Source organism: Homo sapiens, chromosome 20, assembly GCF_000001405.40.
Source record: "Homo sapiens chromosome 20, GRCh38.p14 Primary Assembly".
Taxonomy (NCBI): Eukaryota; Metazoa; Chordata; class Mammalia; order Primates; family Hominidae; genus Homo; species Homo sapiens.
In genome coordinates, this window is record NC_000020.11 from 3,405,587 (window position 1) to 3,432,345 (window position 26,759).

At 44.2% G+C, this 26,759-nt stretch overlaps 1 protein-coding gene and 2 long non-coding RNA genes across 5 annotated transcripts in view, besides 6 other annotated features; 1 reads left to right on the forward strand and 2 right to left on the reverse strand.

Moving 5' to 3' along the window:
- The window catches only part of DNAAF9 (dynein axonemal assembly factor 9), a 158,364-nt gene extending 156,281 nt beyond the window's left edge, over nt 1-2,083 (reverse strand). For all 3 annotated transcript variants that reach the window (XM_005260684.5, NM_001009984.3, XM_047440081.1), the window contains exon 1: nt 1,889-2,083. In XM_005260684.5, the coding sequence (XP_005260741.1) occupies nt 1,889-1,971 (83 nt within the window). In that variant the 5' untranslated portion in view covers nt 1,972-2,083. The remainder of the gene's footprint in view (nt 1-1,888) is intronic.
- Nucleotides 1,747-1,826: a silencer, noted in NCBI's record as "silent region_12618". NCBI's record gives its function as "represses an Ori minimal core promoter by ATAC-STARR-seq in GM12878 lymphoblastoid cells {active_cell/tissue: GM12878}" and the evidence as "EXISTENCE:reporter gene assay evidence [ECO:0000049][PMID:35858748]".
- Nucleotides 1,887-2,126: a silencer, noted in NCBI's record as "silent region_12619". NCBI's record gives its function as "represses an Ori minimal core promoter by ATAC-STARR-seq in GM12878 lymphoblastoid cells {active_cell/tissue: GM12878}" and the evidence as "EXISTENCE:reporter gene assay evidence [ECO:0000049][PMID:35858748]".
- Nucleotides 2,167-2,416: a silencer, noted in NCBI's record as "silent region_12620". NCBI's record gives its function as "represses an Ori minimal core promoter by ATAC-STARR-seq in GM12878 lymphoblastoid cells {active_cell/tissue: GM12878}" and the evidence as "EXISTENCE:reporter gene assay evidence [ECO:0000049][PMID:35858748]".
- Nucleotides 2,407-2,606: an enhancer, noted in NCBI's record as "active region_17478". NCBI's record gives its function as "activates an Ori minimal core promoter by ATAC-STARR-seq in GM12878 lymphoblastoid cells {active_cell/tissue: GM12878}" and the evidence as "EXISTENCE:reporter gene assay evidence [ECO:0000049][PMID:35858748]".
- Nucleotides 2,983-3,484: an enhancer, noted in NCBI's record as "OCT4-NANOG hESC enhancer chr20:3389216-3389717 (GRCh37/hg19 assembly coordinates)". NCBI's record gives its function as "activates a minimal SCP1, AML or CMV promoter by ChIP-STARR-seq in primed H9 embryonic stem cells {active_cell/tissue: H9 hESC(primed)}" and the evidence as "EXISTENCE:reporter gene assay evidence [ECO:0000049][PMID:30033119]".
- LOC105372508 (uncharacterized) lies at nt 11,445-25,270 on the reverse strand. Its single transcript, XR_937212.3, has 3 exons — nt 25,168-25,270; nt 16,365-16,492; nt 11,445-11,482 (listed from the first exon to the last, which is right to left on the reverse strand). It is a non-coding gene; the product is annotated as an uncharacterized LOC105372508 (long non-coding RNA).
- LOC105372509 (uncharacterized) lies at nt 12,809-15,202 on the forward strand. Its single transcript, XR_001754709.1, has 3 exons — nt 12,809-12,850; nt 14,461-14,546; nt 14,968-15,202. It is a non-coding gene; the product is annotated as an uncharacterized LOC105372509 (long non-coding RNA).
- Nucleotides 15,017-15,086: an enhancer, noted in NCBI's record as "active region_17479". NCBI's record gives its function as "activates an Ori minimal core promoter by ATAC-STARR-seq in GM12878 lymphoblastoid cells {active_cell/tissue: GM12878}" and the evidence as "EXISTENCE:reporter gene assay evidence [ECO:0000049][PMID:35858748]".
- Nucleotides 25,271-26,759: the final 1,489 nt, after the last annotated feature.

The window sequence follows — 26,759 nt, forward strand, 5'->3', positions numbered from 1 at the left end:
CAAACCACTTGATAGAAGATTTGGAGTTCGGGTATGATCAGTAAAGTGAGCCAGCATACTTCTTTGAACATAGAATCACTACCTTTAAAAGAATAAATAAAAAGCACATGGCCATGCTACTAAAAACAAGAAAGGCAGCATTTAAGAGACAGATTCTAAGGTAGAGATGATTTTTTTCCCCCTAAAGATCTCAACAGACTCAAATCCAAATTCCTAAGCTCAAGATGATCTGGGATAAACCTCAAGTCCACACAGAGCCTAGATTTAACGGATGGCTGTTCTAAAGTATCCTATGCAATGTCTATACAAGTTCAAATACTTTCTGCTTCAGACAGTGAAACTGGCAGAAATGTTGCAAAGGATTGGAGATGCGTTACTATAAGCAGTTAAACTTGGAACTGTAAAGCCCACAAGGAATTACACTGAAGGGCAGAGCAGGAGTTCAAAAATGTCACCTGACAGATTCGAAGCAATTTAGGACTCCTAAATGCAATGTTTCATTGGTATCTACCCCCCACCTTCTCTATCCTTTATTTGTTCAACAAACATATACTGGATTCTGGGTTGTGGAAAGGAATGCAGGGAAGTAAAAAAGAAACAGGTTTCTAAGAATCAGTTTCTTGTTCTCCAATAATTTGGTCTAGTTAAAGCAAACAAACAACCCCAAAAATCAGATCAGCAAGCAAAGTTAAAACATATGCCTTAAGTACCATAACAAGAATATAAGAAAACTGTTTTAACATGTAGATTGGCAACCTCCTTTCAAGGGAACAATATATTTGCTTTGCTATGTGGCTAGAATAAGAAAAAGCAAACAACAACAAAACCCTCTCCTGTTTTAATGACAGTTTAGCAGTACCAAAGCTCATCGCTCGCATTCCCCCTCTCCCTCTCCTTCTCAAAGGTCTCTGCTGCAACCCCTCCATCATTCCAACCTCCACACTGCGCCGGCGCCCCACACCAGCTCCATCACAAACAATGCCCAGACCAACAAGATCAGCACCAAACGCATAGGGCACAGAAATCGGAAACGGATCTTCCTATATCTAAAGGGGGCGGGGAACGCTCCCCACGATCACCCCCTCCCCATACTGAGGTAGCTTGGGACTGTGTCTCTACGGTAAGGGGCCTGGCGTCCGCCGCTTTCGGAGGTTCTAGGCCTCTTTCCCCTATTTATCCAGTTTTTCCTCCTGCGTCCCTAATACCTCTACTTCCTCCCAACCCGAGCTCCCTATTGTGGAGTGAGGGGGCGTCGCGATGCAGGCTGAGGCAGGGGGAGCTGGGGAAACGCGCGACAGGGGAGATGCTGTCATTATGTACGTAGGGGGCGGGGGACACTCTTTAAGGAAGCCGTTGTCAAGGGCAAAGGCTCTAGAGACCCACGGGAGGGGGCTTTCTAGGTAATCCATTTGGGGGTTCTACACGAGGGAGCTATTGTGTGTGTGGAGGTGTGAGGTCTGTAGAGTAGCAGTTTCTGAGGGAAACATTCCCTGGGGAAGGCGAGTGAGTTATTCATAGGGAAGCCTCTGTGGGGTTCTGTGTAGAAGAATCCTTCCTGGGAGAAACGTTCTATGGGGGTGAGGACGTCATAACAGTGTCTTCACAGGGAATCGCTGTCCCTAGGGAAGCCATTGTGGGGAAACCGTTGCAGGGTTGTCTGTGGGGGAGCCATTGTGGGGAAACCGTTGCGGGGTTGTCCAAAGGGGAGCCATTGTGGGGCCTCTACAGAGGGCGCCGTTCCTGGGAAAAATTCCTCCCTGAGCCGTTCAGCAAAGAACCGTCCCGAGGAAGCCATGTCGGACCACGCCCTGCGGCGGGAGGCGTCGCCGGACCCCGACAGCCCGCATCCCCCGCCCGGCCGCCCCTCGGCTGCCTCTGCCCCGCGTACCTGACGGAGGGTGACCCGCGGCTGGAGCCGCCAGGGGACCGAGCGCGGGGCAGCCCCTGCCGGCGCGGGGGGTACACGTCCATGGCGGCGGACGACTGGCGGCGGAGGAGGACGGTGCAGCTGCGAGGGTCTCAGTTGCCCGCAGGGCGGCTCCACGCTAGCTGCGGCCGGGCGGGGCGGCAGGGCGTGCCGGGTGGGAGGGGGCGCGGCGCGCGGGCCCGGCGGGGGCGGGGGCGGGGGCGTGGAGGGGGCGCGCGCACCGAGAGCGGATGGGGGCGTTGGGAGCGGCTGGAGTTGGGGGTCGGCGCACGGCCACAGGGACCCCACTTCTTAAGCTGCGAGGCCGCCGGACCGGATGTTGGGAGCGCGTGTCCGCAGGGTGAGGGTTGCCACAGCGCCGCCCGGCCTCGTCCTCAAGCCCGGCATCATAGAGCGGGGCTCTGCGCGGCGCCCCCCGGCCACGCACACGGACGCGCCCGGGGGCGGAGCCTCTCCCAGCCCGGCCCCGCCCCTCCGCCTCTGCCCGCCCCGCCCCGCCCGACCAGCCCCGGCCTCCAGCGAAGTCTTCCGCTCCGGCGTCAGGATCCAGCGCACCTCCCCAGTACCCAGCGCACCTCCCCAGTACCCGGCTCGCTTCCCTGTTCTCCGGAACGGTGTCTTCCCGCTTCCTGGTCATCAATTCCGCACCCACCCTTCAAACATCCAATAGATTCCTAGCCGGCCTCGGGTTAGCGCAGCAGTGCGCACCCAGCCCTGCGCAGGGCATGAGCGTTAGAGGCGCACAGGATCCCAGAAGACCCCTAACCTTTACTGTTAAGATCCTAGCTCTACCGGTTTCTGCAGGGACATGTACAAGAAACTTGGGAAATACTGCACTGATAGTTGCCAGGAGTCCTGTATATACAGGACGTATTTAATGATTATTGGCCTGCGTCCTTCGTTGACCTCGTCGGAATGCCTTAAATGTCCTGTATTCATCTTTTTACACTAAATTGCAATAATTAGAGCTATTTTTCTCCCACAGTAATTGGTGCTAGATCACTTAAATTACAACACTGGCTGAAAATCCTTCCTACACTAATGAAGATTTGGACAATCCCTATGGTGTCTCCTTCAGGTTTGGCTGAGGGAAGACCAGAAGGGAGTAGGAATTTAAAGTGCTCGTCTTTCATATTCAAGAAAGGAAAATACTTTTTTAGCTCAAGTCCGGAGTCGTGAACAAATAACCACCATTATTTAGAGATAACTTCTCGTCGGTGCAGCAGCTCTGAAAATCAGCCAATCAGCGATAGCCTCACTCCGGTAACTATGCTTCTTAGTAAATCAATGACAACCCCACGCTTCTGAAAGTCAGCCAATCAGTGACCGCTCTAAGCCTCCGACAATAGCCAATCAACAAGTGCCTGACACCAGCGACCAGGCTTCCGAAAGTCAGTGGGTACTCAGCTGCCGCACTCCACTTCTGATTCGGAAAGACAGCCAATCCCTGAAGGCGAATATTTCCAAAACCATTTTTTTTTCTTTCCCAGACTGAGTCTCATTCTGTCGCCCAGGCTGGAGTGCAGTGGCGCGATCTCGGCTCACTGCAACCTCTGCCTCCCGGTTCAAGCGATTCTCCTACCTCAGCCTACCGAGTAGCTGGGATTACAGGCTCCCGCCACCACGCCTGGCTCATTTTTGTATTTTTAGTAGAGACGGGTTTTGCCATGTTGGCCAGACTGGTCTCAAACTCCTGACCTCAGTTGATCCGCCTGCCTTGGCCTCCCAAAGTGCTGGGATTACAGGCCTGAGCCATCGCGCCCGGCCTTTTTTTTCTTTTTCTCCTTTTTTTTTGGAGACAGAGTCGCACTCTGTTGCTCAGGCTGGAGTGCAGTGGCGTGATCTCAGATCACTGCAACCTCTGCCTCCTGGTTCAAGCGATTCTTGTGCCTCAGCTTCCCAAGTAGCTGGGATTACAGGCCTGTGCCACCAAGCCTGGCTAATTTTTTGTATTTTTAGTAGAGACAGAGTTTCGCCATGTTGGCCAGGCTGGTCTTGAACTCCTGGCCTCAAGTGAATCGCCAGCCTTGGCCTCCCAAAGTGCTGGTATTACAGGCGTGAGCCGCGCCCGGCCTTCAAAACCTTTTATAAGATCAGCTCTGGCTTTGTTCAGAGAGGCTGTACCTTACAAGTACCGCTCTCCCTTGCAAGCAGAGAAGAAATTCACTTTTTTTTTGCATCAGATATTGAGTTCAATTTATTGTTTTGTCCGAGTTCAAAGTTCACAGCTCAAGATTCAATTCCCAGTTACTATTTGGTATGAGTTTGGACTTATGACAGACGCTATGACACCGTCATGAGATTTATCAAATACAACTCTTTCAATTCTTTCTATGCTTGCAGTGATCAATTTTTTAGCTCAAGTCCAGAGTCATGAACAAGTAACCACCATTATTTAGAGATAACTTCCCATCGGTGCAAAAGCTCTGAAAATCAGCTCTAAAAACAATTCAACGGGGCTACACGTGGTGGTGCACGCCTGCAGTCCCAGCAATTTGGGAGACTAAGACAAGTGGATTTCTTGAGCCCAAGAGTTTGAGACCAGCCTGGGCAACGTGGCAAAACCTCATCTCTCTGTCTCTCTCTCTCTATATATATATAGTTTATTTATAAAAATATATATTTATATTATAATTTATGTATACAAATATATTTCATATATGCACACACACACAAATTGGCCAGGCATAGTGGCATGTGTCTGTAGTCGCAGCTATTCAGGAGACTGAGATGGGAGGATCGCTTGAGCCTGGGAGGTCTAGGATGCAGTGAGTTAAGATCAGGCCACTGCACTCCAGCATGGGGGACTGAGTGAGACCCTGTCTCAAAAAAAAAAAAAAAAATCAATGAGTATAGGCACAGATTTGTGCAACCACCACCACAATCAATTTTAGAACATTTTTATCACTCCAACAGGAAAATCCTGTACCTATTAGCAGTCATTCCTCCATTTCTTCCCAACCACCCCAGCCCTAGGCAACCACTAACCTTTTAATTTGCCTATTCTGGACATTTCATGTTATCAGCATCATTCAATATATGGTTTTTCATGACTGGCTTCTTCCATTTAGCATAATGTTTATAAGGTTCATCCATGTTGCAGCATGTATCAGAATTTTGTTCCTTTTCATGGTTGAATATTATTACATTGAATGGATATACCACATCTTGCTTATCCATTTATCTGTTAATGAACAGTCAGATTGTTTCCACTGTTTTGCTATGTTTTGTAGCTAATGCTATTATTAACATTTGTGTACAAGTTTTTTTGTGGACACACAGTTTGTTTCCTTGGCGATCTAGGAGTGGGTTTCTGGATCACATGGTAACTCTACGTTTAACCTTTTGAGGAACTGCCAAACGGTTTTCCAAAGTGGCTGCACCATTTATATTCTCACCAGCATCATATGTGGGTTCTAATTTTTCCATATCTTCCCTAATACTCATTATCTTTTTCACTATAGCCATTTTAGAGGGTATGAAGTGGTATCTCATTGTGGTTTTGGCTTATATTTCCTGATAGCTAATGATGTCAAGCATCTCTTCATGTGCTTATTAGCCATTTGGACCTCCTCCTTTTTTTTTTTTTTTTTTTTTTTTTGAGACGGAGTTTCACTCTTGTTGCCCAGGCTGGAGTGCAATGGCATGATCTCAGCTCAACGCAACCTCTGCCTCCCGGGTTCAAGCGATTCTCCTGCCTCAGCCTCCCGAGTAGCTGGGATTACAGGCATGCGCCACCGCGCCCAGCTAATTTTGTATTTTTAGTAGAGACGGGGTTTCTCCATGTTGGTCAGGCTGATCTCAAACTCCCGACCTCAGGTGATCTGCCCACCTCAGCCTCACAAAGTGCTGGGATTACAGGCATGAGCCGCCGTGCCTGGCCTATACCTCTTCTTTGGAGGAATGTCTGCTCGAATTTTTTGACCATTTTTACTTGGTTACTTGTCCTTTTATTATGTTGTGGTAGCTCTTTATATAGTCTAGATATAAGTACCTTATCAGAAATACAATTTGCAAAAATTTTATCCCATTCTGTGGGTTGTCTTTTCACATTCTTGATATTGTTGTTTGAAACACAAAACTTTAAAATTTTAATGATATCCAGTTTATCAATTTTTTTCTTTTGTTGCTTGTGCTCTATGTGTCATAACTAGGAAACTATTGCCTAATCCAAAGTCATGAAGACGTACCTCTTACATTTTCTTCTAAGAGTTTAATAATTTTGGCTCTTACATTTTAGATCTTTGATTAATTCCAAATTAATTTTTCTATATGATGTGAGGCAGGGATCCAACTTGATTCTTTTCCATGTGGCTATTCACTTGTCTCAGCACCATTTGTTGAACAGACTATTTTTTTCCCCATTGAATTGTCTTGGTACCCTTGTTGAAAATCGATTGTGTTATCTATTTCTTTATTTGTGTATATGTGAATCCACAAATGCCAAATTGCAAGAGTGAATTTTATGACAAATTTTCTGAAGAGTGTACATTTATTAAAGGAGAGAAAATCCATTTGCAGCTCTTTATGTGGTATGCAAGTATTTATTCAATATTGAAAATGGTGGAAAGACAGATATACATCAGCACATACTAACGGCTAAGCATAAAAGATGTGTGATTTTTGTACCAAAGGAATGGATAAAATGACAAATTTTAAAGATAAATTCAGATTGAGAAGATAATCACAGCAAAGTTGTAATGGCCTCCCATACTGTCTGTTGTCATCATTCAGCTCAAGTCACTCTTTGAACATACCGCTACCAGTAGTATTTTCTAATGCCAATATTTCAAGCAAATTTTCAAATGCCAGGACAAAATCTACTGCAATAATTTGAGATGTAACGACTCCACTTACTACTGTTGCAGTGATTATCAAAGCTGTAAATGCCTTGCTGTTTTATAGCATAACCATGGATGTGAGTAATCACAGTGAAGAAAAGCTTTTCCTTTGCCTGTGCAACAGTTTCCTTGTGAAAAAGGCTTGCTTATGGGGCTATTTTGTGTAAAATCCCTTCCAGATGAGATTTCAGAAATGAACAAATTGTTGCAGAGATTCTCCTAATGAATTAGGAGTTATTAAAAACTGTACAGTTTTTGATGGAAAAATACAAATAAAATATTGGTAGATGCTCGCACTATGTTTATTCAAAACTAAAGTAAAGCTTGACTGATGCTATGGAAGCTATTGACTGTCCTGCTCATATTCTGTGTAATGCTGCTCAAACAGCATATGATGTCTTTTCCATTGCCTTTGAAGCAACTGTCCTGAAATTATTCTTATGTCAGCGTTTATAATATTTGAACTGAACAATTAAGATATTTTTGTGATTTTGTTGGCATTTAGTATTCCTCAATTCTCTTGCATTCAAAAAACCTGTTAGCTCTTTTTTTTTTTTTTGAGATGGACTTTCGCTCTCATTGCCCAGGCAGGAGTGCAATGGCACAATCTCAGCTCACTACAACCTCCGCCTCTTGGGTTCAAGTCATTCTCCTGCCTCAGCCTCCTGAGTTGCTGAGATTACAGGCATGCAGCACCACGCCTGGCTAATTTTGTATTTTTAGTAGACATGGGGTTTCATTATGTTGGTTAGGCTGGTCTTGAACTCCTGACCTCAGGTGATCCACCTGCCTTGGCCTCCCAACGTGCTGGGATTATAGGCGTGAGCCACCGCGCCCAGCCAGCATTCTTTAACATATGGATTTGAGAGACTCCTCAGTTTATTTGAAGTACTGAAAACATATTTTAATTTTAAAGGAAAAGCTCTCGGGCTAGGCACAGTGGCACGCCTGTAATACCAGCTACTGGGGAGGCCACAGTGGGAGGATCCCTTGAGGCAGGAGTTCCAGACTAGTCTGGGTAACATAGTGAGACTCTATCTCTATTTTAAAAATTTAAAAATTAACCGGGCATAGTGGCACATGCCTGTTGTCCCGGCTACTCAGGAGGCTGGGGTGGGGAGAGAGCCTGAGCCCAGGAGTTCAAGGTTGCAGTGAGTTATGACCTATGCACTCTAGCCTGGGTAACAGAGCAAGACCTCATCTCTCTTTGTAAAAAAAAAAAAAAAAAAAAAAAAAAAAAAAAAACAGAAAGAAAAAAAGAAAAGGTCCCCAAATTTCTTACTGACTTTTAAAGTAATCCATTGAGGGAAACCTTTTCAGCAATAGGATTATGCCAAAGAAAAAACAGCAAACAGCGGTATTGAAATACTCCATTGCTTAAGAGAACTCTTGAATGCATTAAATGAATAATTGATGAAGAAAAATGTAACCCTTTAAGTGTCAAGGCTGTTCTTAAAAGGGACAACATTACTTACGAACAAGAAAAAGTCTGACTTGAAGTGAATAATTATTACAGCACTTGTCATGATTACCTTTTGAAATGGATTTCATCCCGTGAAGAATTTTATTCTTTTTTTTTTTTTTTTTGACAGAGACTCACTGCTGCCCAGGCTGGAGTACGGTGGCATGATCTCAGCTCCTTGCAACCTCCACCTCCTGGGTTCAAGCAATTCTTGTGCCTCAGCTTCCCGACATAGCTGAGATTACAGGCGTGCTTTATCATGCCTGGCTAAGTTTTTGTAATTTTAGTAGAGACAGGGTTTCACCATGTTGGCCAGGCTGATCTCGAACTCCTGGCCTCAAGCAATCCACCTGCCTTGGCCTCAAAGTGCTAGGATTACAGGCATGAGCCACCGTGCCTGGTCAAGAATTTTATTCTTTTATATGGATATTAATGAATACTCTTCTAGCATGGGAACAAGTGGAATCCTCATATTTAGTGTTGAAGAAGAAAGGAATAAAAAATGATGATAATGCTCTTTTTTGTTGGGGGGGGCAGCATTTTTAAGTTATTGATCAAGAGATGAAACAATCCTGAAGAATAGAAAATCAAGTTGTGCCATGAAAGTTGGTATTTGCTTTAATGAACCAAATCTGAAGAGCAATTTTCAGGGTTGTTAACTTTATCCTAGAATATGTTCTGTGTATTAGTCCATTCTTGCACTGTTATAAAAAATACCTTGGACTGGGTATTTTGTATTTTCTGTATTTTATGGACCTGCTACTTCAGGAAAGACTGGGTAATTTATAAAGAAAAGAGGCTTAATTGGCTCATGGTTCTGCAGGCTGTACAGGAATGACTAGGTAATTTATAAAGAAAAGAGTCTTAATTGGCTCATGGTTCTGCAGGCTGTACAGGAAGCATAGTGGCTTCTGCTTCTGTGGAGGCCTCAGGAAACTTACAATCATGGCAGAAGACAAAGGAGAAGCAGGCACATCTTACATGGCTGGAGGAGGAGCAAGAGAGAGAGGGGAAGGTGCTACATACTTTTAAACAACCAGATCTCATGAGCATTCACTATCACAAGTGTAGCACCAAGGGGAGGGTGCCAAACCATTCATGAGAAACCACGCCCACAATCCAATCACGTCCCACCAGGCCCCACCTCCAACACTGGGGATTACAATTTGACATGAGATTTGGTGGGGACACAGATCCAAACCACATCACTTTTCCCCGGCCCTCCAAATCTCATGTCCTTCTCACATTTCAAAATACAATCATCCCTTCCCAACAGTCCCCTAAAGTCTTAACTCATTCCATCATTAACTCAAAAGTTCACCATCAAAAGCCTCATCTGAGACAAGGCTAGTCCCTTCCACCTATGAGCCTGTAAAATCAAAAACAAGTTAGTTACTTCCAAGATACTGTGGGGGTACAGGCATTGGGTAAATAATCCCCTTCCAAAAGGGAGAAATTGGACAAAAGAAATGGGCCACAGTCCCCATGCAAGTCTGAAACCCAGAAGGGCAGTCATTAAATCTTAAAGCTCCAAAATAATCTCCTTTGACCCCATGTCCCACATCTAGGGCACACTGGTATGAGGGGTGGGCTCTCAAAGCCTTGGGCAGTGCCACCCCTGTGGCTTTGCAGGGTTTAGGCCCTGAGGCTTCTCTCATGGGCTTCTGTTGAGTGCCTCTGGCTTTTCCAGGTGCAAGGTGCAAGCTCTCAGTGGATCTACCATTCTACTGCCTAGTGGAGGTGGAGGACAGTGGCTTTCTTCTCACAGCTCCACTAGGCAGTGCTCCAGTGGGGACCCTGTGTGGGGACTCTGTGTGGGGGCTCCAACCCCACATTTCCCCTTCACACTGCCCTAGTAGAGGTTCTCCGTGAGGGCTCCACCCCTGCAGTATGCTTCTGCCTAGGCATCCAGGTTTTTCTATATAGCCTCTGAAATCTAGGCAGAGGTTCCCAAGCCTCAACTCTTACACTCTCTGCACCTGCAGGGCTAACACTACATAGAAGCCTTGGCTTATGGCTTATACCCTCTGAAGCAGCAGCCTGAGTTGTACCTGGGCCCCTTTTAGTTGTGGCTAAATCTGGAGTGACTGGGATGCAGGGAACAGTGTCCTAAGGCTGCACAGGGCAGTGGGGCCCTGGGCCTGGCCCCAAAAAAACATTCTTCCCTACTCGGCCTCTGGGCCTATAATGGGAGGGGCTGCCAAGAAGGTCTCTGAAATGCCTGTGAGGCCTCTTTCCCATTGTCTTGGATGTTAGCACTTGGCTTCTTTCAATTTTCCTGCCTCAGCCTTCTGAGTGGCTGGGACTACAGGTGCCTACCACCATGCCCAGCTAATTTTGGTATTTTTAGTATAGACAGGGTTTTGCCATGTTGGCCAGGTTGGTCTTGAACTCCTGACCTCAAGTCATCTACCCACCTTGGCCTCCCACAGTGCTAGGATTACAGGCATGAGCCACCACAACCCGCCTGGCTTCTGTTTTCTTATGCAAATTTATGCAGCCTGCTTGAATTCCTCCCCTGAAAATGGGCTTTTATTTCCTACCACATGGCCAGGCTGCACATTTTCCAAACTTTTATGTTCTGTTTCCCTCTTAAATATAAGCTCAAGTTTCAAGTCATTTCTTTGCTCACACATGTGAGCATAGGTTGTTAGAAGCAGCTGGGTCACATTTTGGAGGCTTTACTGCTTAGAAATTTCTTCTATCAGATGCACTAAATCATCATTTTCAAGTTCAAAGTTCCACAGATCCCTAGGGCAGAGGCACAATGCATCCAACCTCTTTGCTAACACATAATAAAAGTGATCTTTGCTCCAGTTCCCAATAAATTCGTCATCTCCATCTGAGACCTCTTCAGCCTGGACTTCACTGTCTGTATCACTATAAGCATTTTGGTCACAACAATTTCGCAAGTCTTTAGCAAGTTCCAAACTTTCCTTCATCTTCCTATCTTCTTCTGAGCCCTTCACATTCTTCCAACCTCTGTTGATTACCCAATTCCAAAGCTGCTTCCACATTTTCAAGTATCTTTATAGCAATGACCCAGTCCTTGGTAACAATTTTCTGAATGTTTCTTCTCACATCGCTATAAAGAAATACCTGAGACTGGGTAATTTATTTTAAAAAGAGGTTTAATTGGCTCACAGTTCTGCAGGCTATACAGGAAGCATGGTGGCTTCTGTTTCTGCGGAGGCCTCAGGAGACTTATAATCATGGCAGAAGGTGAAGGAGAAGCAGGCACATCTTACATGGCTAGAGCAGGAGCAAGAGAGAAAGAGGGGAGGTGTTACACATTTTTAAACAACTAAGTCTTGAGAGCACACACTCACTATCATGAGTACAGCACCAAGGAGAAGGTGTTAAACCACCACTACGATCCAATCACCTCCCACCAGGCTCCATCTCCAACACTGGGGATTACAGTTTGACATGAGATTTGGTGGGGACACAGATCCAAACCATATCATTCAGTATGCAGCCTCATATTGCTAATGTTGAGCATGTTATCTAACTAATGAATGTGCAATGGACAACTGAAATAAGTTAGATATGACCATTGTTGAAGCTATGTTACAATGAAAATAACTATAGATTATATCTACAAGGAATTTTATAGGCAAATTTCAAAAACAAGAATCCTTAATTACAGTGGTCAAAAATATAATTAGAGAAATATATAACTCAGATACTTATAATTTGTTTTGTATAAGCAAATAAATACTTTTAGTGAATGTCCCATGCAATAATTTTTATATCAACATACATATGCATAGGCAATTAGGTGTAATTCTAATTTAACTGAGTCCTTGTATTTTTATTTGTTAAATCTGGTAACCCTAGTCATGGATGATCTGAGATATTGCATGTAATCGTTAACAATGATCTTTTAAAAATAATCTGTGACAGGCCAGGCACAGTGGCTCATGCCTATAATCCTAGCACTTTGGGAGGCTGAGGCAGGCGGACCACAAGGTCAGGATTTCGAGACCAGCCTGGCCAGCATGGTAAAACCCCATCTCTACTAAAAATACAAAAATTAGCTGGGCATGGTAGCACGTGCCTGTAGTCCCAGCTACTCAGGAGGCTGAGACAGGAGAATTGCTTGAACCCAGGAGGCAAAGGTTGCAGTGAGCTGAGATCGTGCCACTGCACGCCAGCCTGGGCCACAGAGCCAGACCCTGTCTAAAAAAAAAAAATCTGTAACAATCTTTTTTTTACAGAGGTATAATATATTTATAATAAAATGTATATTTCATTTGACAATATTTGACAAATGTATGCAATTGTGAAACTATTACCACTCCCTCCCCAAATCAGTGTCATTCCATGACCACAGAAAATTCTGGGAGACTCTCAATGAAAAGTAATAACAAAATAACAACATACACACACACACACACACACACACACACACACAAGTCGAGACCCTTTTGCAGTCAAATCCCTCACCTAACCCTAGGCAACCACTGATTTCATTTTTTTGTTTGTTTGTTTTGAGACAGGATCTTGCTCTGTTGCCCAGGCTGGAGTACAGTGGCACAATCACAGCTCACTATAACCTCAAACTCTCAGGCTCAAGGGATCCTCTTGCCTCAGCCTCCCAAGTAGCTGGGACCACAGGTGAGTGCCACCATGCCTGGCAAATTTCTTGAAAATTTTTTGTAGAGATGGGGTCTCATTGTGTTGCCCAGGCTGGCCTTGAACTCCTAGGCTCAAATGATCCTACCACCTCAGCCTCCCAAAGTGCTGGGATTATGGGCATGAGCCTTCACACCCAGCCCTTGATTTTATTTTAACGTCCGTAGATTAGTTTTGTCTGCTCTTGAAATTTGTATAAATGGAATCAGCATATTGATTTTTGAGATTCATTCATTATGCTATATGTATCAATAATTTGTTCACTTTTATTGATGATGAGTAGTATTTTATAGCTCAAACATAACACAATTTGTCGATCCACTTACTAGGTGATGAACATTTGACTTGTTTCCAGTTTGAGGATATTATATATAAACTCTTATAAAACATGTATGTATAAGTCTTTGTGTGGCCATATGTTTTCACTCTTCTTGGGTAAATAGAAGAATTGCTAGGTTATATGGTACATGTATGTTTATCTTTACAAGATAACCGTCTAACAGTTTTTCAAAGTGGTTGTGCCCCATTTTACACTCCCGTCAGAAGTGTATGAGAATTCGGTCCTGGCGCAGTGGCTCACGCCTGTAATCCCAGCACTTTGGGAGGCCGAGGCAGGTGGATCATTGAGGTCAGGAGTTCAAGACTAGCCTAGGCAACATGGTGAAACCCCATCTCTACTAAAAATACAAAAATTAGCTGGGTGGTAGTGGCATGCACCTGTAATCCAAGCTACTTGGGAGGCTGAGGCAGGAGAATCACTTGAGCCTGGGAGGCAGAGATTGCAGTGAGCCGAGATCGCACCACTGCACTCCAGTTTGGGCCACAGAGTGAGAACCTATCTCAAAAAAAAAAAAAAAAAAAAAAAAAGAGGTGTATGAGAATTCCAGTTGTTTCACAACCCTATCAACTCTTGGTAGTGTCAGTCTTTAACTTTCGTCATTCTCCTGCATATGCAGTTGTGTCCCATTGTGATTTTAATTTGCATTTCCCTAATAACTAATGATGTTGGGCATCTTGTCATATTCTTATTTACCATCTGAATATCTTCTGTTATAAAATATTTTTAAAGTGCTCTGCACATTTAGAAAATGGGTTGTTTGTGTTTTATTACTGAGTTAAAGGAGTTCTTTATTTTAGAGTATTTTATTTCGGAGTCCTTTCCTGGATATATGCATTGGGAATGTTTTCTCTCATTGGTTGCATTTACATTTTCTTTTGTGTTTTTTTTTTTTGAGACAGAGTTTTGCTCTTGTTGCTCAGGCCGGAGTGCAATGGCACGATCTCGGCTTACTGCAACCTCTACCTCCTGGGTTCAAGTGATTCTCCTGCCTCAGCCTCCCAAGTAGCTGGGACTATAGGCATGCACTACCATGCCCAGCTAATTTTTTGTATTTTTAGTAGAGACGGGGTTTCATCATGTTGGCCATACTGGTCTTAAACTCCTGACCTCAGTTGATCTGCCCACCTTGGCCTCCCAAAGTGCTGGGATTACAGGCGTGAGCCACTACATTTTCTTAAAGGTGTCTTTTGTGCAGTAGAAGATTTTAATTTTCATGAATTCTAATGTATTATTATTTTTTCATTTATTTTAGAGGAGAATGTGCTGGCTCTGATGTTCAGTGACAAGGGAACAGAGAGAGGTAGGAAGGCCTGAACCAGCCAAGAGACTTTACCTGAGGTAAAAATTCCTCTTCCTTCAATGCCTCAAATCAGGATCTTGAAGTTGGAAAATAATAAAAGCTTGTACAGATTCCACTTTGATTGTTTTTGGCAAGGCTATTTCATAACTACCTGTGGTGATCTAGAGGGTTTCTCAGAAGAAATGACATTTGTGGAGGGAGTCCGGAAGCTGAGTGATAATGAAAGCTATAATTCAAAACCACACTAAGCACTCTTCATGTCATCCTCTGTGGTAGCCAGCCAAGATGGCCCCCAGTGATCCTCAAGTCCTGTGTTCATGCCTTTGTATAGCCTCCCTCAATACTGAATCATGCCTGGCCTGTGACCAATAGAGTATGGCACACATTGTGACTTCCAAGGCTTGGTCATGAAAGACATATGCAACTTCCTTTTGCTTTCTCTTGCATAATCTGTTCTAGACAAAGCAGCTGCCGTTTTATGAGGACACTCAAGCAGCTCTATGGAGAGGCCCACGTGGTGAGAAACTGAGGCCTCCTGCCAAAAACCAGCATCAACTTGTCAGTCATGTGACTGAACCATCCTGGAAGCAGATCTTCCCACTCCAGTGAACCCTGCAGTTGATCACAGCCCCAGTGGATACTTTGGCTGCAGAGAGACCATGATCTAGAACCAATTAGCTAAGTTGCTCCTGAATTCCTGACTCACAGAAACTGTTTGATTAAGATAATAAATATCTTATGTTGTAACAAGTCACTAAATTTGAAGGTAATTTGCTATTCAGCAATAGATAATTAATACAACAGTTCTATAAGGTAAGAATGAGGTATTATCTCCACTATACAAATAAGGAAACAGCCTCAGAAAGGTTAGGTGACTTGCCCAAATTAACTGTCAGAGAAGATTTTTTTCCCTTGACAAATAATTTACATTTTATGGCAATTTCCATGGAGAGGCTAGGTGCAGTGGCTCAATCCTGTAGTCTCAGCACTTTGGGAGGCTGAGGCGGGAGGACTGCTTGAAGCTAGTAGTTCAAGACCAGCTGAGGCCACATAGTAAGACCCCTGTTTCTACAAAAAATTAAAAAAAAATTTTTTTTTTTGAGACAGAATTTCGCTCTTGTTGCCCAGGCTGGAGTGCAATGGCGTGATCTCGGCTCACTGCAACCTCTGCCTCCTGGGTTCAAGCGATTCTCCTGCCTCAGCCTCCTGAGTAGCTGGGATTACAGGCACCTGCCACCACGCCCGGCTAACTTTTGTATTTTTAGTAGAGACAGGGTTTCACCATGTTGGCCAGGCTGGTCTTGAACTCCTGACCTCAGCTGATCTGCCCACCTTGGCCTCCCAAAGTGCTGGGATTACAGGCGTGAGCCACTGCACCTGGCCAAAAAATTTTTTTAATTTGAAATTTATATTTTAAATTTAAATTGCTCACACCTGCAATCTCAGCACTTTTGGAGGCTGAGGCAGGTAGATCGCTTGAGTTCAGTAGCTCAAGACCAGCCTGGGAAACGTGACAAAGCTCCATCTCTGCAACAAATACAAAAGAATTAGCCAGGCATGGTGGTGTGCGCCTGTAGACCCAGCTAATTGGGACGCTGAGGTGGGAGGATCGCTTTAGCCTGGGAGACAGAGACTGTGGTGAGCCAAGATCGCGCCACTGCACTCCAGCCTGGGCGACAGAGCAAGGCCCTGCTGTCTCAAAATATTAAATAAATAAATACATTTATTTCCATGGAGAAACAATAAAGAGAAACATCAAAACTCAGATGGCAAACCTCCTCAGCCCTTCCTGAACCTTTTTCCTCCCCAGCATTCCAACATTTCTCTCAAAAACTCTCAAGCCTGCCCAGCTTTACCTCTAGCCTCCCTCTTGCATTTCCCACTCAGCAAAGCAAAAAGGTGGCTGCATTCGAACTGAGTTTCGATTCCAGCTCTAACTTCAATGTCCATGTTCCTAACCACTCTGGTTCCCAGAAGGGTTTCTCTAGGAAGAAAAATAAGGGAAGGGCATTAGACGTAGAGAAAACAACAAATGCAAAGAAGCGAGGGTTTGACAGAATCTGGCTGCCTCTGAGGGAGTGGAGGGACAATGGTTCAGCGGGGCTAGAGAGCAAACTTCCTGGGAAAGGAGGTGGCAGGGTGAAGCAGGAAAGGAGTTCGTAGCCAGTGTGTAGAAACCCATAGGCCATGTCAACAATTTTGAATTTCTCTACAACAAAAAATTTTAGGCAGGGGAGAAAGTTGCTTGTGTCTGAATTTCCAAAAGACTCTTTAGGGAAAGAAATCATTGTATTAAAAAGAGACTTGCACTGGAATATTTATTGCAGCACTGTTCACAATAATCACAAAGACAGGGGATCAACCTAAGTGTTTGTCAAAGGAGAATTGGATAAAATGTAGTATGTGCATATACCATGGAATACTGTAATACTTAGCCATAGAAAAGAATGAAGTCATATCTTTTGCAGCAACATGGATGGAACTGGAGGCCATGATCCTAAGTGAAATAACTCAGGAACAGAAAGTCAAATGCCACATGTTCTCACTTATTAGTGGGAGCTAAATAATGTGTACATATAGACACACAGAGTGGGATAATAGACATTGGAGACTACAAAAGGTGAGAGGGTGGGAGAAGGGTGAGGATTGAAAAATTACCTATTGGGTACAATATTCACTATTCAGATGATGTGTACACTAACAGCCGAGACTTCACTGCTAAGCAATATATGCACGCAATAAAGCTGCACTTGTACTCCATGTATATATAATAGATAGTAAAATGTATTATATATTAAAAATGTATAATATATTAAACATATATAATATATTGTATATGTTATATATAACATATGTCATATATTATACAACATGTTAATCACATTAACATATAGTTATATATTATAATATATATTATCTAATATATTTTAATATATAATCTATAATATATTTTTATATAATTTGTTTTCCTAAATATATTTCACATATATTTTATATAATTATGTATTAATATATAATATATATTTATTATTATATATAAATATGTGTTTATATATATTACATATATATTTTTAAGACCATTCGGTAGCTTAGCAGACACTGTTAGTGCTCCTTGGCACTTACCATTTCCTTGCACGCTGGGTCAGGAGGCTAGAAGAGCTGGGGAATTAATGCCTGCTAGGAGCTGAGCTCTCAGTCAATGACTGAAGGAAGTTGCGTAAATACCCCAGCTTCTCACTTGTCAGGTAGGATAACTCTGGGACACACATTCTGTAGCTATTCTAAGGGTTTCCCAGCAGGATTAAGCTCCAGTTGCCCATTTGCTTGATAATGTGCAATCGACTGCTCTCCCTTCCTTGAATCTCTTCCCCACTCTGCTGCTCGTTTTCCTAGGATTACCTCCCACATAAGGTACTTGCACTCAAATCCTTACCTTAGGTCCACTACTGAGCAGCAGGAGGAGAGGGACTATGAACTAAAACAGACAGAATAAGAAGTAATATATACCATGATTATTAGAATGCTCATTACAACATTGATTCTTTCCATGTTACCCTGTGAATTAAATGCAATTTCTAACAAAATCCCAACAGAATATTTTAAAAGGAACTTTAAAAACTGATCCCTGGCAGGGTGCAGTGGCTCACGCCTGTAATCCCAGTACTTTGGGAGGCCGAGGTGGGCTGATCACCTGAGGTCGGGAGTTTGAGACCAGCCTGACCAACATGGAGAAACCCCGTCTCTTCCAAAAATACAAAATTAGCCGGGCATGTTGGCGCGTGCCTGTAATCCCAGTTACTTGGGAGGCTGAAGCAGGAGAATCGCTTCAACCCCAAAGGCAGAGGTTGCAGTGAGCCGAGATTGTGCCATTGCACTCCAGCCTGGGAGACGGAGCGAAACTCCATCTAAAAAAAAAAAAAAGAAAGAAAGAAAGAAAAAAACCCCCCGCTCCCTAAGGTCATTCATAGGAAAGTTCTTTGCGGAAAAGATGAACAAGGAGAGAGAACTTGCCCTACCAGATAGCAGGATTTACTATAAAGCTATTAGCCATTAAGATTTACTACAGGCCGGGTGCGGTAGCTCACGCCTGTAATCCCAGCACTTTGTGGAGGCGGGTGCATCACCTGAGGTCAGGAGTTCAAGACCAGGCTGGCCAACCTGGTGAAACCCCGTCTCTACTAAAAATAAAAAAAATAGCTGGGCATGGTGGCGGGTGCCTGTAATCCCACCTACTCAGGAGGCTGAGGCAGGAGAATCACTTGAACCCAGGAGGTGGAGGTTACAGTGAGCTGAGATCACGCCACTGCACTCCAGCCTGGGCAACAGAGTGAGACTTTGTCTCAAAAAAATAAAAATAAAAAAGAGATACCATTATACCCATTAATTTGAGAAAAGAATTTTAAGTTTGATATTATTTAATGTTACCAGGAGACCAGCTTGGCCAACATGGTTAAACCCTGTCCCTACTAAAAATATAAAATTAGCTGGGCGTGGTGGCGGGCACCTGTAATCCCAGCTACCTGGGAGGCTGAGGCAGGAGAATCGCTTGAACCTGGGAGGCAGAGTTTGCGGTGAGCCATTGCACTCCAGCCTGGGCGACAAGAGCGAAACTCAGTCTCAAAGAAAAGGTCAAATATACAGAGACAGAGAATAAAAGCGGCTACCAGGGGTAGGGTGATGAGGAAGAGATTGAGAGAGATGTCAAAGGATCCAGAGTAGCAAATATGTAAATTGAACAAATTTCAAGATCCAATGTGTGATTCCATAAGGAATATAGTTTTTTGGTTTTGGGGGTTTTTTTGAGACAGAGTCTCACTCTGTCACCCAGGCTGGACTGCAATGAAGCAATCTCAGCATTTCAACCTCTGCCTCCAGGGTTCAAGGAATCCTCCTGCTTCAGCCTCCCAAGTAGCTGGGACCACAGGTGTGTACCATTATGCCCAGCTAATTTTTGTATTTTTACTAGAGACAGGGTTTCACCATGTTGCCCAGGCTGGTCTTGAACTTCTGGGCTCAAGCGAGTCTCCGCCCTTGGCCTCCCAAAGTGCTAGGTTTACAGGCATGAGCATTTGCGCCTAGCTGAGGACGACAATTAGTAATTTATTTTATCAGGATTTTTGCTAAATGTGCAGAGTATAGTTGCTCTTGCCACTGTGGGAAAAATGGGTAACTATGTGAGATGATGGCTACGTTAATTGGTTTCACTATGATAAATATTTTACTATCTATATATACATGTATCTCATAACATTACGCTGTACATCTTAAATATTCACAATAAAATTCATTAAAAAAAGAATTAGGATAGGCAATTCACAGATGAAGAAACTCAACGTATGTAAATATGCTCAATATCATTAACAATGAGGGAAAAGACAAGTTAAAAACAATGAGATGCCGGCCAGGCACGGTGGCTCATGCCTGTAATCCCAGCACTTTGGGAGGCTGAGGCCAGTGGATCACGAGGTCAGGAGTTCGGGACCAGCCTGACCAACATGGTGAAACCCTGTCTCTACTAAAAATACAAAATTAGTTGAGTGTGGTGGCAGATGCCTGTAATCCCAGCTACTCGGGAGGCTGAGGCAGGAGAATCGCTTGAATCTGGGAGGCAGAGGTTGCAGTGAGCCGTGATTGCGCCACTGCACTCCAGCCTGGGCGACAGAGCAAGACTGTCTGAAAAAAATTAAAAAAAAAAGAGATACCATTATATCCATTAATTTGAGAAAAGAATTTTAAGCTTGAGATATTATTTAATATTGCCAGGATATGGAATGGGAACTCTCATACACTTCTGTGGAAAGTATAAATTGGTATAACCGCTTTGGACAGCAATTTTATAATATGTGAAGTAGAAGATACATTGGCTGGATATGGTGGCTCATGCCCATAATCCTAGCATTTTGGGATGCTGAGGCAGGAGGATTGCTTGAGCCCAGAGTTAGAGAGCTGCTAGAGACTAGCAGCCTAGGAAACATAGCAAGACCCTGTCTCAAAAAAAAATTAAAAAGATACATATATGTCCCTAAAACCCAGAAATTCCACGTCCAAAGAAACTCTCAGCTGGGCATGGTGGCTCACGCCTGTAACCCCAGCACTTTGAGAGGCCAAGGCAGGCAGATTGCTTGAGGTCAGCAGTTCGAGACTAGCCTGGGTAACATCAGGAAATCTTATCTCTGCAAAAAAATACAAAATTAGCTTGGCGTGGTGACATGTGCCTGTGGTCCCAGGTGCTCAGGAGGATAGTTGGAGCCCAGGAGGTCGAGACTGCAGTGATCTGTGATTGTGCCACTGCACTCTAGCTTGGGCGACAGATTGAGATACTGTCTCAAAAAAAAAGAAGCTCTTGCATATGGAAACATGTGAAGTAAAACCAAAGATGTTTATCCATGTTCTTTGTAATAGTGAAACTGGTGGGGAGCGGGCGGGGCAGGGGGCAGGGATTTAATATCCATCAAGGGGGTCTCAAATGTGAAACATAAACCAAACATGGAAGAGTTATACAAGGTAATATTATACAATTAAAATGAATGAATATGGTTGAATCTTAGAAACACAGGGTTTAATGAGCTACAAAAGAATATTTATAATTTGACACCATTAATATAAATTAAAATAAACATAACCAAAACAATACTATGTACATAGCAAAGGTATAAAAACCATGAGTGGTTGTTCAGACTGGGAAGGTGAACTCAGTAAGTACATTTTCATCTGCAATTTTTTATTATTTAAATTTTATTTATTAATGTTTTTAAGAGACAGGGTCTTGCTCTGTTGCCCAGGCTGGAGTGCAGTGGTATAATCATAGCTCGCCGAAGCTGCAACCTCCCAGACTCAAACAATCCTCTCACCTCAGCCTTCCGAGCAGCTTGGACTACATGTGTGCACCACCACACCTGGCTAGTTTTTAAAATTTTTGTAGAGATGGAGTCTTGCTATGTTGTCCAGGCTGGTCTTGAACTCCTGGGCTCAAGCAGTCCTCCCATCTCAGCCTCCCAACATGTTGGGATTACAGACGTGAGCCACCATGTCTGGCCTCAATTTTTATTTCCTTAAAAACAGGTTTGATACAAATATGACAAAAATATCAACATTTGTTCATTTGGATGATTGGTACCCAGGTGTTTGTTATATTGGCCTTTTTTCTTATCAGCATATTTAAACTTTTTCAAATAAAGGAGTACTTCTAAATCACTACAAAAATATAAACACCCCCATCAAAAATGGCCAAATGATACAAAAAGCTAATTTGTTGCTAAAAAAGGGTCTTGATCCAGACCCCAAGAGAGGGTTCTTGGATCTCATGCGGGAAAGAATTCAGGGTGAGTTGTAGAGGACAGTGAGAAAAGACCATTTGTTAAAAGCTACTCTTACAGAATTGGGGGTTCTCAGGAAACAGGAGGAACGTGCTTACTTTTAACCTCTTCTTATATAGGAGTCTTGTCTATGTAAAAGGTAAACTAAATTATGGTTACGTGCAGGTGGGCTGACAGCATGACAAAATTTAGTACTTTGCTGATTTAAAGAAGGCTATCCTTGGCATTTTAGTGCATCACTTAAAAAAATATATTGTTATGTGATATTGGGACGTGTGTACATTCTGCCATTGCAGGAGTTTGTCCTTGCAAAAAAATACAAAATTAGCTTGGCATGGTGGCATGTGCCTGTGGTCCCAGATGCTCAGGAGGATAGTTGGAGCCCAGGAGGTCGAGGCTGCAGTGATTCGAGGCATTTTAAAGCTTTCTTTCTTTCTTTTTTTTTTTTTGAGACGGAGTCTCTCTCTGTCACCAGGTTGGAGTGCAGTGGTGCAATCTCAGCTCACTGCCACCTCTGCCTCCTGGGTTCAAGCAATTCTCCTGCCTCAGCCTCCTGAGTAGCTGGGACTACAGGCGCACGCCACCATGCCCAGCTAATTTTTGTATGTTTGGTAGAGACGGTGTTTTACTATGTTGGATAGGATGGTCTCGATCTATTGACCTCTTGATCCGCCCGCCTAGGCCTCACAAAGTGCTTGGATTACAGGCCTGAGCCACTGCGCCCTGCCCATTTTAAAGCGTTTTTAAGCTGTTTCCTCAACTGTAAACATCTTATGACCACCGGCCGGGCGCCCACCACCACACCCGGATAATTTTTGTATTTTTAATAGAGTTGGGGTTTTGCCATGTTAGCCAGGCTGGTCACGAGTAGCTGTGATTATGGGCGTGCGCCACAGTGTCTGGCTAATTTTTGTATTTTTAGTAGCGACGGAGTTTCATCATGTTGGCCAGGCTGATGTTGAACTCCTGACTTCAGGTGATCCACCCGCCTCAGCCTCCCAAAGTGCTGGGATTACAGCCGTACTTTGCTAGTTTTAAAATGGATTTGATTTTTAAACGGTGTCACCCTGGCTCCCCTATGCTCCTGTTTCCCTAATAAATTTATAGAGGAAGAAATACAGATGGCTCAGGAAGAGAGGAAAATACATACAACCTAACTAGACACCAGGAGAAGGAAAATGGAAACAGCAGTGAGCTGCCTTTTTGCTTATTAAGTTGACCCAACCAGGCCGGGCGTGGTGGCTCACGCCTCTAATCCCAGCATTTTGGCCAAGGCGGGTGGATCACCTGAAGTCAGGAGTTCAACACCAGCCTGGCCAACATGGTGAAACCCTGTCTCTACTAAAAATACCAAAAAAAAAAAATATATATATATATATATTAGCTGTGCATGGTGGCTCATGCCTGTAGTCCCAGCTACCTGGGAGGCTGAGGCAGGAGAATTGCTTGAAACCAGGAGGCGGAGATTGCAGTGAGCCGAGTTCTGCACTCCAGCCTGGGCAACAGAGTGAGACTCCACCGAAAACAAACAAACAAAATTGACCCAACCAAAAAAAATAATAATAACTAATGTGGAGAAATGAACACTGCTATCTACTAAATGGAGTATAAATGGGTACAATTTTGCGAAAGGGTGTTTTGGTAAAATATATGCAGCACATTCTTAAACTCACTTTCAATCTGTCTCAAATATTGGATTGGTTAGGATTACATTACTCTGAATAAGTTTTACCTTGTAAGAGTTAATTAACAGTAATTTGACGCAGGTAGAAGATTGTACCTTTCCATGTTGAAGGCGTGGTGACTGGGGTTCACAGTGACCTCAGAACCAGACCCCCTTTGAACTGTGGCCCTTTTGGCCTTCACTCTCCAGATCGCCTCACAGTTTCGTTCCTGCCCCAGCCATTACACCTGCATTCAAGCCGGCAGGATGAAGGAAAGGGAAAAGAAGGGGCAAAGAGTAACACCAGCTGTCTCTTAAGGAAGATTCCCGGAAGCTTCCATGTGATATGTCTGCCTTCATCTGGTGTCTAGAACCTAAATGTATGGCCCTGCTTAGTTAGAAGGGAGTCTGAGAAAGGTAGTTTTGATTCTGGACAGCTAAACTATCTTGTTTGTTTTTCTTCTGGGTACAAGAAGGAGAGAAATGACCGGGCACAGTGGCTCACGCCCATAATCCCAGCACTTTGGGACGCTGAGATGGGTGGATCACTTGAGGTCAGGAGTTCGAGACCAGCCTGGCCAACATGGCAAAACCCCACCTCTACTAACAATACAAAAATTAGCTGGGTGTGGCGGCGGGTGCCTGTAATCCTGGCACTTTGGAAGGCAGAGACAGTCGGATCACTCGAGGTCAGGAGTTTGCGACCAGCCTGGCCAACATGGCAAAACCCCATCTCTACTAAAAATACAAAAATTAGCTGGGTGTGGTGGTGGGCACCTGTAATCCCAGCTACTTGGAAGGCTGAGGCAGGAGAATCGCTTGAATCTGGGAGGCAGAGGTTGTAGTGAGTGGAGATAGCACCACTGCACTCCAGCCTGGGTGACAGAGAGAGACTCTGTCTCAAAAAAATAATTAAAAAAAAAAAGTACGAAAGAATGGATATTAGGAAATAGCAGTATTTGCTGTGGGTGTGTACTTTAATTTTGGTCTGGTCTTTCACGAGCCATATATATAGCACAGAAGTCCCTAACCTTTTTAGCACCAGGGATCGGTTTCCTGGAGGACAGTTTTTCCACAGACCAGGGTGGGGGGATGGTTTCAGGATGATCCAAGTACATTACATTACGTTTATTGTGCACTGTACTTCTATTATTATTACATTGAAATATATAATGAAATAATTATACGACCCATCATAATGTAGAATCAGTGGGAGCCCTGAGCTTGTTTTCCTGCAACTAGACGGTCCCATCTGGGGGTGATGGGAGACAGTGACAGATCATCAGGTATTAGATTCTCATAAACAGCACGCAACCTAGATCTCTCTCATGCGCGGTTCATAATAGGGTTTGCACTCCTATGAGAATCTATGCCGCCGACAGGAGGTGGAGCTCAGGCGGTAATGCTCGCTCGCCTGACACTCACCTCCTGCTGTGTGGCCCGTTTCCTAACAGGCCACAGACTGGTACCGGTCTGTTGGTGTTAAGGCCATCCTGTCCAGATGGCCTTAACCAGCCAGGGTGTCAACCCCCAGCTGTTGTGAATTTTAGTTGCTCTCGGATCACAACTTCCCCTTTCTCCAGAGAACTGTTCTTGGTCTACAGCTGTCTGTCACCTTACCAAGAAATGTCGGGGAGGTTACACCTGTTCTAGGGGAGAGGAAGACAGCCAATGACTTACCAACAGAAGGTCAAAAAGCCCAGCTCTTGACTCAAGGGAGACATCCCTGGAGTACAATTCTTATTCCAATTTCCTGCGTGATCAGACTAGATTCCAGCTGAAACCACATTCTTCACTCCCTCCCTGATATATATGATTCATTCCTGCTCCCTTCCTTCCTATTTTCTACACTTGTCTCACTTCTTGACATGTTCCTCTTGAGAACATACTCTTCATAAATTATGTACACAAGAATCCCCATCTTGGGCTCTGCTTCTAGAGAACATGACCCAAGACAAGTCCGCAGTTACTGGGTAGCAAGGCAAAAAAAGTAAGTTTCAGTCCTGTCCAACGACCGTAGTCTAATGCTAAAATTTGGTCAGTCCTTTAGGTAATGCCTAGTCTCTGTGGTAGATTGGATATTGTTCCCAATTCTTCACTCCCTCCCTGATATACATTATTCATTTCCACCCCATTGACTTTGAACTTAGCTCTAAGACTGACTTTGGCCCATGGAATGTTAGTGGATGTGATGTGAGCCAAGGCTAAAAATGTGCCTGCGTGGTTTGGTTTGGCTCTTGTAATCCCATCTTCTGTTATATAAAGAGCATGTCACAGTCACTGCCGGTCCTAGAATGAGAAGACTTGTGGAGTGGACTTGAATCCCGCTCACAGCCTTGAGCCAAGCCCAGCTGATTCTAGTTGAAGCCAGAGCCCCACAGCTGAACCTGCAACCTATGAGTAGAGAATCAACGCTTGTTGTAAGTCCTTTTATTTCGATGTAGTTATGCAGGAGAAGCATGACTAGTAGAGTCTTTTAAAAATAAATACTCAGGGCCAGACGCGGTGGCTCATGCCTGTAATCCCAGCACTTTGGGAGGCCGAGGCGGGTGGATCACGAGGTCAGGAGATCGGGACCATCCTGGCTAACACGGTGAAACCCCGTCTCTACTAAAAATACAAAAAATTAGCTGGGTGTGGTGGCCAGTGCCTGTAGTCCCAGCTACTCGGGAGGCTGAGGCAGGAGAATGGTGTGAACCCAGGAGGTGGAGCTTGCAGTGAGCCGAGACTGCGCCACTGCACTCCAGCCTGGGCGACAGAGCGAGACTCTGTCTCAAATAAATAAATAAACAAACAAATACTCAGATCTTTGGGTTTTTATACTTGTCCCATTTTCAGAGGGTGTCTGGATGAACAAGGAGAGGTGGGTTTATGTGTCTAGCTCCTACTTGCTGACGTCTGTCACTGAGGAGATCCATCTTTTTCTGTTTGAGCTGGGTCTGATGACTTAGCCTCTCATTGGCTTTCGCTTGCCTTGTGGACACCTCTGAGTCCTGGTTCTGCCCCCTCTGTTCCCGTCCATGCTGATCAGTCCACTCAGCACCCTCTGCGGCCCCAGGACAGACCTACTGACTCTCAGCATTTGCTCTACCAAGGATCATAACAGGAGGCCAGTCGAGGCTGTAACCCTGCTTAACCATTCTGCACATTACTCTTAACTGGATTCAAGCAGGGCCATTCTACATGGTGGCCTCCTTCCAGAATCCCAAATATGGAATAGATCAAATGCCTCCTGCCCTTGAAGCCCAGTTGAATTATCAAACTACCTCTGC